Source organism: Homo sapiens, chromosome 6 (assembly GCF_000001405.40).
Source record: "Homo sapiens chromosome 6, GRCh38.p14 Primary Assembly".
In the NCBI taxonomy this organism is placed as follows: Eukaryota; Metazoa; Chordata; class Mammalia; order Primates; family Hominidae; genus Homo; species Homo sapiens.
In genome coordinates this window covers 153,309,711-153,321,747 of record NC_000006.12, presented here as the reverse complement: position 1 = coordinate 153,321,747, position 12,037 = coordinate 153,309,711, and the positions used below count along the sequence as shown (strand labels likewise).

The window sequence follows — 12,037 nt, the reverse complement described above, 5'->3', positions numbered from 1 at the left end:
GAGAGAGGAAGAATTCAAGTGAGCTATGAAGTTAAATAAGAAAAAAAAAAACAAGGACAAAAACAAACAAGCAAAACCGTCTTTGGCTTAATTAGATATGGATGGCATAGCCAACATGTTATTCAACAGTATATATAAGGAAGTCGCAGACAACACACAAATTGCCTATAAGAATATAAAAAGCTACTCAACATCAGTGGTAATTGGGAGAAAGACAGTTAGATCAAGAATACCAATTAAAATGTTTAGCCTCCTCTTCTCTTGCCCAGTTAGCTCTCTTTCCTGGAGGAGTAATTATTCTGTTTATTCATTTTGGTCTTTTTATTGTGCTGGTGCATTCCTTCAAAAGTCTAGTAGTCTTTGAGTATCAATAATGTTTTTGAATGAAGTCCTTGGTTGAATATTGCAAATGAATATTGGTAGCTCAGGCCAGTTTTGTTTCTGTCACATGACCCACTTTCCTGTTTTTCCAGTACCACTCCTTCCTGATTTGGGAAACTGATTATTGATGAACTGTGTGTATGTGGAAAGGAGACAAATTAATTTTAAAAGGCACAGGCAGGTCTTGAATTGGGATCCTTGGAAAAAGACTTTTCCAACTCCAACTCTGTTAGATGCAGACAGTTCTTTGGGGAATCGTCTCAGGGGATACAGGTGGGAGAAACTGAGCATGGCTGCATTTAGACAGGGGCTGGCTCACAATCCAGTGGCAAATGAGACTTTGGCTGATCCTACGGGAAGACTAGAACTGTGGCTCTTCAGAGTTGTTCCAAACTGATGCAAGAGGAGAGGACCTTGTTTATACGAAATAGTCATTCATTAGCCAATGGCTGCCCTCAGGAGTAGGTGTTATCTCGGGCAAGACATTTCCCTTGGAAATTTTCCGGTGAACACTCAGTAGTTAGCCACCAGTCCCCGATATTATAAGTGTTTGGGGGATAGGTATGTCTGCGCTGAAGAAGGGATCTAGTTATGACACCACAGTATCCACTAGGTCAACCACTTCTGTCTCTCACCTATCCTTGCTTTTTATAGTGAGTTCCTTACATCAGAGGACAGATTCCACAGGATACTGATGACTCTCATATCCCCAGATTTTGCAAGAGAAATGTTGGTGAGACAACTGCAGCCTCCACTACTGCAGTTGATGTTCCTTAAGGTCATAAGGGAGAATCACCCTCTTCCTTCACCACCCATTCTACATTTTACTCACTCTTTCCTGGCACCACTGTTGCTATAGAAGGTTTGAGCCCCTTTTTATTGCCAGTCTCAGTCTGTAGCTATTGAATGTTTTCATTCAATATTAAAATGAAGTATCAATGGAGATTCAATGCAGCACCTGATCCTGTTCTTATTGTGAAGTAAAAGTCCCGTCTTTTCCTGACAATCAGTGTCAATGATCTCTGTGAGTATAGTAACCCTTTTCTTCATCTGCTGGTCTTTTAGTTTGAGGAGGTTGAAGTGACCAGAGAGCAGTCATAGCTTAAAGTTTGGCAGGACTCTTCCTGTGTGCCCTAATGTAAGCATTATAAGATGACCCATCCAGGAGTCAAGCAAAGGTTCTCTATGTACCCTTAGGTGTGAGCTGAGGTAGAGGCCACTGCAGTCTGCAGTCGCAGGGCATCTGCACCACCTGCCTATGCTGTTTACTCTGGTTCTGCTTCTGCCCAATCCCGGATGTGCCCTATCTTAAAATGGATTGCTGCTGGGTGTGCTGCCCCTTGTGATTTAGTAGACTGGAGAATAGCTCTGATTTCATGGGTATTTGACATCCCATGGTCAGAAACTCAGTTGCTCCCAGGGCCCAGTACCACACAGAAGCTGACTTTTAAATAATATATATAGTTCTCTGCTCCTGATAAGAAGACTTTTTTTCCCTCCAGAACTAAGAGATCTACATTGCTACACTGTAATTCTTCTACTGGAACTTGCCATAAACCCAAATGGCATTTTTCCCCATTTAAGTTACATGTAATAGCACAAACTTTACTGCACTGAATTAGCCAAACAGCACGGCACTTTGCACAACAGCCTGGATCTGCTGACAAGCCCTTTCTTGCCCTAGGATCCATCCAAGATGGAAGTCATCTCTGTTATATCATTGGCAAATTAATTGAAGTGGTCATTGAAAGGGTGAAATATGTTGCCTCCACAACTTAGGAGGCCTGCCTAGTGCTATATTTCTTTGTTAATGGTGAAAGGAGTGAGAGTTATTTTTCCATAACTTTGAAGAAGATAATTGGCATGTCCCAGACAACTGAATCCCTAAAAACCTTACTGACGTGGTAGACTCTTGTATATTCGTAGGGTTTATTCCACACTTCCAGGAGCACACATGTTTTACCAACACACATGCTACTTCTTGATCACCTATACTGATGAGCTGGTGAGCTTAGCAACGTACATAGTGCAGATCCATTTATACCATATTGTGATAGAGGGTGGGGGAACTCAGGAAAAAGCCATAAATATGTAATATTGTCCATTCAACATGAATGAAAATTATGTAAGTGAAGATTTTATGAGTTTTAACATATGAATACACAGAAGAAACTATTCCCACAATCAAGGTAATGAAGATATCTATTAATTTCAAGAGTTTTCTCATGCCCCTATGGATTTCTCCATCTTGTGCCTACCCCAGTCCCAGACAATTATTGATATGATTTCTGACACCACAAATTAGTTACATTTTCTATCATTTTCTATAAGTGGAATCACACAGTTTGTACATTTTTTGTCTTGCTCGTTTTACTCAAAATAATTATGGTGAGATTCACCCATGTTGTTGCGTTGATCAATAATCCATCCTTTTTTGCTGAGTAGTATTCCACTGTGTGGATACATCATAATTTGTTTATCCATTCTCTCACCAATGGATATTTTAGTTGTTTTCAATTGTTGTTTATTATGAATAAAACTACCATGGACATTCAAATGTAAGTTTTTGTATGGATGTAAGCTTTCTTCCCTAAACTAAATGTGTGTGAAAGGAATGGCTGGGTCATATGCTAGGTGAATATCTAACTTTTTGAGGAACTTCCAAATCATATTCCAAAGTGATTTATCATTGTGCACTGTCACCAGCAGTATATGAGAACCAGTTGCTCCACATCTTCACCAAGACTTAATATTGACAAACCTCTTGATTTTACCCATTTACTGGGAGTGCAGTGGCATGTTATTGTGGTTTGAATTTGCATTTCTCTAATAACTAATGATGCTAAACACTTTTTCAGGTAATATACATATATATATAAACTTGTTTAGTGAAACACCCTTCAAATTTTTTGCCCATTTTAATTGGGTTGTTTGTCTTATTGTTGAATAATAAAGTTTTTTGTATTTTCTAGATACAGTTCCTTTTTGGCTATATATTAGCAAAACATATTATCTTAGGTGATGGCTTTGCTTTCTGAATTTTCAAAACAGGGTTCTATGAATAACAAAATTATTTAATTTTGATGAAGTCCAATATATTGACTTTTTAAACAGTTTGCATCATGTGTAAGAAATCTTTGTCAAACTTAAGGTCACTAAAATTTCCTCCTGTTTTCTTCTGAATATCATGTAGCTTTTTGTCATTATTTTTAGGACAATGACCTATTGAGGGTTAATTTTTATATATGGTTTGAGGTAAGGGTTGGGGTTCATATTTTAACATATGGCTTGTAAAATTGTTCTGCACCATCTATTGAAAAAATGCTCCCTTCGCTCATTGAAGTGACTCTGTAACTTTCCTTTGTCTTCATATTCATGGGAAGTTGTGACTGAAAGCCAGGCATTTTGAATTTTAATTTACTGGGTGATAAATATTTCTAATTATTACAAAAATGTTGACTTTGTTCTAGAATGCACTTAAGCTACTTGAAAATTATTTAATCCTTCTGAGGCTTACTAATAAACCTTGCTAGGTGGGACCAGAGCAACTTTAGTCTAGGGCTAATTTTTCTTGCTACAGAGGCAAGAAACTTCTGAATACTCTCCCCAGCACCCTATAAATTATGTTTTCCTTCCTGGTAGGAAAACAAACAAAAAAATTCTTCCTGGGTCTATGTGAGCTCCGGGAATCATTCCTTTTGCTCTTTTTAGATGCTTCTTTCTCTGACCTTAGGTAATTTCTTTGCACACATTTGCCGATGAGTAGTCAGCTAAAGAATTGAGGGAAACCCTTGGAGCAAATCTCCCTCGCTCTCTCTCATCTCTATCTATCTCTATCTCTATCTCTGTCTCTATATCTATCTCTGTCTCTATCTCTGTGTCTCTGTCTCGATCTCGATCTCTATCTCTATCTCTATCATCTCTACCTCTTTCTCTGTCTCTTTTTCTCCCCTCTCTTGCAATCTGGCCTATGAATTCCAGTCACTTTCACCTCCCCAGCCCCCTACTTTCTTCTCTTCTCAGGGTGATCGTTGGCCCCATGTTGGTCCACCTGCCTCCCTGTTCTGCAGCAAATAAGCTGGGCAGAAGTTGAGGCACCTGTGGGCTTTCCCTCATCTGTTTCCCTTCTCTTGGTGATTACTGTGCTGCACTGCCTGATGTCCAATTTCGGAAAAACCTGTAGGATGTTTTATTTTTTCAGGTGGGATGGTCACTCTGTTTCCCATTCCACCTTGGTCAGAATTAAAATTTTATTCTAGGCTTTTACCACATTCTAGTGGAAACCTTGCCATCCAAGTCTGGTGGTTCCATTTCTTTGGCACAATGGTTCTCCAAATGTAGTGGAGAAAACTTGAGAAATTTGTTTGAAATACAGAATCTAATGTTCTGCTCCCAGAATTTCAACTCAGTAGATCTGCAATCAAATCAGCTATCTGAATTATTAATAAGACCATCATGTGACTCTGATACAAGTGGTTAACCAACCACAGTTTGAGAAACATGCTTTGTGGTGATTTTTTTTTTTTTTAACTTGGGCAAAAATGACTCCGTGCATGCATGGGGTGGGGAGGGCAAGGACTTTGGCAGTATTTCTGCAGTTAATCCTTTGATTAATAATCATGATTATATCCCCATTTTCCACCCCAAATGCCTAGTGCCTTCTTATCCAGAGTTTGGAGCCTTTCCATAGCTGAGCAGGGAGAGCACTTTCACATGCCATCTAGCCACTCTCTGTGTTTGTTTCATGTTTAGATTGTCACTCTGATCTCATCTGTTATCTTCCTGAAAATTTTCAAAAGCCCTGAGTTACCAATGACTTTGTCTCATTTTAAGAATTGCTATGAATGCATTTCCTCAAATACACTTAGTTGTCATTTCCATTGGATTTGTTGGGGGAATACAATAAAGACAGACTCAGTGCTGTACTTTCAACTGAAAGATACATGGTTTTTAAATAGCGTTACAAGTAATCTATTAAATGAGTGATTTCTTGTTATTTGAGTGAGAGATTTCTACATTCTTCCACCAAGGTAACAATGGTGTTGATAATAATATTTCCATGTTCTATAGTGACGAATCCATTTTCTAACATTTTATACTTATGACTGAACTTTCTCCTTAGACCATCCCTAATACAAGGACATTTTTGTCTTATTTTACTAAGATAGGTTAGATAGCTTACTGAAAGCTATCTAACTTATCTTACTAAGGCAGGTTAGATAGCTCACACACATGGGTAGGAATAAGATTCTATGTTTTCCAGTTTTAGGATCACTGAGGCTTACTTGTGTGGTTTCATGTTTGTGTATTTGTTTGTTATTTATGTTTAAAAATCATATGAATTCATAAAACATTAACTACTGCTAAGGTCCACACTGCTGCAAAATTTTGAGGGTGAATACAATTAAATAATCCTGTTGGGCATTTTAGGCATTGGTGTGAGTGATTTCTACATACTAACTCATTTGGCCTTCACAAGAAAGTTATGAAGTATGGATTATTGTGATTGAGATTTTATTGATGGAAAAACTTCAGTACAGAATAATTTGATCCAGATCACCTAGTCAGTAGTTGTAAAAGCCCACACCCAAATCTAGGAAATTTCTTCCAGAACCTCTGTTTTTAACGTCTATACTCCACTGGCTCTTATATTGAATACATTCTCTTTATTCAATCTAGAGAATCATTTTTTGAGATGATCGGCTCAGTATTATAAATACCATCAGGTCATTTTAAATAGACTGCTTCACAAAAATACTATTTCACCAAACCTCTGATTGTTCCCTTCAGTGACATTATATGACTCAGACTTTTGCAGCCTGTGTTATTTTTAGTCATCTTCTTGTCACTTGGGATTTAAGTATTAGGTTTGAATATTGATCTCCATTACCAGTCAAGAGGCATTCTATTGCAATCTTACATTGACTTAACAATAAAAACAAAATATAGAAGTCTACCTAGAAAATTATTATCTCAGCAATTTCATGGTTAAAAAATGGTCTCGTGTGTATTTAAGTATTATGGTTTACCTTACTTTTTTGTTTTGATGCTGCCTACCTTGGGTTTTTTGGGGTTTTTTTTTTTTTTTTTTTTTGACATGGAGTCTCACTCTGCCTCCCAGGCTGGAGTGCACTGGTGCCATCTCGGCTCACTGCAACCTCCACCTCCTGGGTTCAAGCGATTCTCCTGCCTCAGCCTCCCAAGTAGCTGGGATTACAGGCAAGTGCCAAAACGCCTGGCTAATTTTTTTGTATTTTTACTAGAGACAGGATTTCACCATGTTGGCCAGACTGGTCTCAAACTCCTGACCTCAGGTGATCCACCCAGCTCAGCCTCCCAAAGTGCTGGGATTACAGACATGAGCCACCACGCCTGACTCTGCCTACCTTTTAAAATAAGACTTATGACTGTAATGTGTCCAGTGGAACAGCTGACAGGTGACAAGATGAGGACCAGATTTAAAGAATCATTCAAATGTTAAAAAGAGACTTTAACCAAAAGGTTGGTTGGGGACACATCTAGTCATGGATAGATTTGCGAAACTGGCATCATAAAGTATTCATAGAGGCTCTAATTTGTTAATAAAATGAGTAGCATACTGTACCACATTGATTCTTGAAAGAGTGTTACAAGAGATATAAATAGCTGTAATAGTGGAAGAAAAGCTAACGATTACAAAGATTACTTATGTCCAGATTGATCTAGAGAAAGCAACCATCATAAATCCCTGATAATTGTAAAAATAAATGATAGATGAATATATGCAAATATTGAATGAAAAATGGAAAGTCGTTTTATGTTCCTTTTGTGTCTCAAACATGTCCTGGAGGTTTAGAGCCAGCCTATTTCATGAAAGATATCTTTAGTAAAACAGAGATATGCAGAAGGAAAACCAGGAGAGGATTCTTATCCAGGATGAGGAAGGATTTTTCTATTATCTTAAAACATCAAATGATTTTTTTTGGTTGACACGGTGTTATATCCCTACACCGTGAGTTCTTGGGCTCTTTTATTTGTGTGATGGCAGCACCTAGCATTGTGGGCAGATGCCCAACATGTGATAGGAATTAAATAACACTTGTCCAATAAACAAATTCATATCACTAGTTTTAAAATTAGATTTGTTTGCCTATGAAAGGTATATAATAAGAATATATGTTTTACAAATTATTGGCTGGGAAAAACATTACTTTAATGTATTTTTTCTCCTTCCATATTGCTTTTCTACTAGAGAAATATTTATTACCTCATGAGACACATCTTTTCAAATAGCATCTGAATTTATTTCCACAAACCCATTTACAAGTAAGATCTAGTAAGATAGAAACATATCTGATTGCATATTTCCAAATTTCCAAGTATATTCATCTCATTAACATGGTTCTTGAACAACACAATACAAAAACATCTGTTTGTCATTTAATGTCACTATAGCATGGTTTTGGCACCAGCAAGAAGTAATTTTTCCAGGCATTAATGGAGAACTAAATTTATAATATTCTGGCTTTTGTGAGAGAGCACAGCTTTTCAGAACTATAATAATTTTTATTTAAAAACTAAAAATAATGCTATTATAAGCTGTCAGAAATTCAAGGTATGCAATTTAGTTGGCTTTTTGTTCGTTTTATTTTGTTTTGTAATTAACCAGCCATGTCTGTGTTTGAGATAGTCTTTTAAAACAACACTGAAATAGGAGAAAGAGCACTGGCTAGGAGTCAGGAAATGTGAACGTTTCCTTAGGTAACTGTCATCAGTAAAATGAAAACTGAAATTGAATTAGAACACCTCTCGTATCCATTTATAAAGAAGTTAAGTTTTTAATATACATACTTATTTGAGAACACATGGACACAGGGAGGGGAACAATACACACTGGGGTCTGTCAGTGGTGGGGAGGGGAGGGAGCACATCAGGACAAATAGTTAATGCATGTGGGGCTTAAAACTTAGATGATGGGTTGATGGGTGCAGCAAACCACCATGGCACACGTATACCAATGTAACAAACCTGCATGTTCTGCACCTGTATCACAGAACTTAAAGTAAAATAAAAATTATAAATAAATAAATACTAAGAAATATAAATATAATTTAGATAATACATAATATAGCACCTAACAGAAAACAGCCGGCTGAGTGTAGAAAATAAGGAACAAAATATACATGTGGAAGAAGGATAACTGATTTAAGAGTTCTAGATCCAGCACCATCCCATGCTTATAATATCACCTTTGAGAAGTCATATGTGACATCTGGACCCCACTCTTCTCATCTATAAAATGATTGAATAGTTTGGTCCAGCTGATCTCAAAAGTCCCTTTTAGCTCTCAAAATTATACATTCATTATGATTCATATCAGGACACTGTGTCTCTTCTCTCAGATTGAACCTCTTTTCTGACTTGAGGAAGGTTAAATCTTTGAGTAGTTTTGTAATTAGACATGATTTCAGAAACAGAATTGTCAGTCCAATTACACAACTCTTGAAGCACGTTCTCTGGTTGGATCACATTTTGAGCCAGGACTGGCACTCCAGCAGATGGCACTGTGCCATCACCATGGGACCAGCCGGCCCTTAAGTACAAGCACTCATCGCTTACTCAGAAGTCTTAATCATTTGCAGTAATCAGCAGTGCCATGCTCTTTTTCTTTATTATTATAAGCTGAATTTAATACTTGCTAATTTGAATAATTATGTGCTGTTTAATTCTCCACTCTGCTGTCAGGTGGATAAAAGTTGAAAGAGGAGTTTGCTAGTTCTAAACCTTCAGTAAATAACAGGGCAGAGGTAATAAAGTTGTCTTTTCCCCAGAGGAAAGACAATTGAATTCTACCTTCCCTGAAGGCTGCTGGACCAGATATTGAGACCACGCACTCTGTGAAGGCAAGAACCATGCTGGATTCATGTTTGCGTCTCTATGCCCTAGCTTATTCAGAGGTGCTTAATAAAGCTGTGGAATGGGTTAAAACAGAATATAGGATTACTAACATAGGTTGCAGATAGATGTGGAGATGACAATGTGTAGCAATTTTCTTCCAGTACTTCAAATTTTAAAGGAAAGTAGGAGGTACAGTGATCAGCTGAGAGGAGAGATAGAGGAAGAGACGTTAGAAGTTCAGAAGGCAGAGAAAAAAATGTGAAATATCTTTTGGGAGAGTGGGAGAATGCATGAAGTATACTACAGTAATACAGTATGATTCCTGAGCATATGGTATGATGACTGGTCAGTTTTAAAAACAGGTTGAAGTTTTTGGTTCTGATTTAAAACGAGAATAATAAAGCTGTGAATTTAACTCCAGCTACATTCATAGGGGCAGGCATGGTATAGGCAGAAAGTCTGACATAGTCATTTTTGAGATTTTACCCGACAAGAACCAGGGAGAAGAATGGGATTGAGAGAGTCAAGGGTGACTGCAGTGATTGACCATGGAATTTCAGATGAATAAAGAAAAAAAAATAGAATGTTAGGGAATAAAAATGAGGGAGGACCTAAGAATTGGAGGTCCTGGTAGGGTTGAAAGACTGTTAAAGTGTCAGATGAAGTCAGGTGAAATGTTAGTGGAGGCAGTCAGCAAGAAATGTATAAAACTGAAATTATGGAGGGGTTGCAGTTATTGACAATGAAAAATCCTAGAATACGACCACCAGAGTTATGACTGAGGGAGGGCGAAGGGTAACATTACTGAAGCAGAGGAGTCTTAGAAAGAAAAAGGCCAATGTGTTAGAAATATTATCCATGTGTATCTTAAAATCAACAGGAAGAAAATCAGAAGTAATGTCAGAAAGAGTGACAGGGAATAAAAATGTGGATCATCAAGGAATCAGTGAGAATGAGACAAGGACCCTCTTAGATGATAATCATGTTGAGGATACAATCTAATGAGATGATATTCAAAGACAGAGGATTTTAGGGAGGAGGGAAGGAGAATGGTTTGAAAACAGCAAGGAGGAATAATAAGGACATTTCCTCAACACATGCCCTTGGGTAGAATATAAAAGTTACCACTTAAGAGGGCTGCAAAGAAGGTGGAGTAGTCAGAACACTCAGAATTCTGTTAGAGCAAGAAGGTGAAATAATTACAGAGGAAGAGCATATTGTAATCAGAGAAGAGCATACATAACATTTGATAATGATGAGCCATAATATCTAGATGAAATCGTGAAAAAGCTTTCAGAATTTTTGAAAGAATGGAGAAAAGGAGTAGAACAGAGGATAGTTGACCTTTGTGAAAATTAGTGTAAAAGATGAGAGATGATTAACATTAAAAGGAAGAAAAGGTGTAATAATATTTATAAGTCACTGTGGATTCAAGGAAGATGATAGTGGTGAAGCTTTGGATGTTGGGGTAAAGGAAAGAACAGGTGTCTGGATTCCTTTGTTGACACTCGTTCATGGAAATAATGAGATCTACAGAAGCTGTTTAGTCCCACTCTATGATACCTTGTTGACCCCTGCTGATGAGAGTATAAGATCCCCACTTTTACTTGTGGGTTGCTGGAAGGGTGAGCTGAAACATCAGTGCACAGTTTCTGTATTGAAGGCTAATGATGGAGTTTAAACTCCTCAGGAGGTCATTTGTTACTCTCGGCATGGTAGGGGCCTACTCTTCAATGGTGGTGGGTATAGAAGGCTCTGATGAAGGTTCTGATAGGTATAGAAGGTTCTGAATTTTTCTGAGAAAAATTCTGTTTTCTTTTCCTGGAACTTCTATTGTTTGGATGTTGGACTCTCCTGCAATGATCCTCTAATTGTCTTGTCTTTTTTTCTGCAGTTTTTATATATTTGCCTGTTCTTTCTAAAAAATTTCACCAACTTGATTTTTTTCTACATTCATAGGAATAAGGGGGAGGGGCGACACTTATGAGATCTTTCTTTGTCTGTTTTCCAGGAAAAAGCATCTAGTGGTTGTTTTGTGGGTGCCTAGATTTTTTCTTCTCTTGGAAGATATTATCACTTCTTTGATGCTTTCTTTTCCATGAATTACCTTTTTTTCCTTAAGAGTTACTTTCTTTATTCATTAGGCACTACAAAGCCAGTTAAAAATCTCTGTGTACTGGAGCAAGAGGTGGTCAACTAGTGGGCTTAACCAAAGGAAACTGGGCAAGAACCAAATGTTACACTTGGCTTCTTCCAAAAAGCAATGTCTGTAGGTATTTTCTTTGAGCCACTAAACTTTTACAAAGAATTTTCAACATTCTTAGAAAGTGAAACAGTGGAAGGGGGTATAAAGTACATAAACTTCTATCTAATTTCTGTTTCTAATAAGATACCTTAGTTCCTACCCTTCCTTCTGTCATTATTCCCTCTAGTTCTAGTTATGCATTGAATAAATGTCACAGGGGTAGTTTTATTAAGCACAGATGAAGAAGAATTTCTTCTAAAGGGTCTAAGGGCTTCTTATGGAGACACACAATTAACCTCCCAGTGTTCACCCCAGCTCTTGCCTCCACATCCTGAGGCTTATAGAGCTTCTAATTCCTTAGCCTTTAATGGGTTCTGCTCTGTAAATTAGCTCGTTTCTAAATGGTATTTTCTTCTGCTGCCCTGGATTTCAGCTTTCTCAGCTCTGCTAAGCCTCTGACTGCTAATACATCTGTTTCTCAGCCTCTAAAAATTTACTGATGTTTCTCATTTACTGTTGCTTCCTTTCCTGAGC

At 37.6% G+C, this 12,037-nt stretch overlaps 1 long non-coding RNA gene across 3 annotated transcripts in view; it reads left to right on the top strand.

Moving 5' to 3' along the window:
• Nucleotides 1–12,037, top strand: part of LOC105378066 (uncharacterized) — a 122,515-nt gene that overhangs the window by 105,417 nt on the left and 5,061 nt on the right. The gene's annotated exons all lie outside the window — the stretch shown is intronic.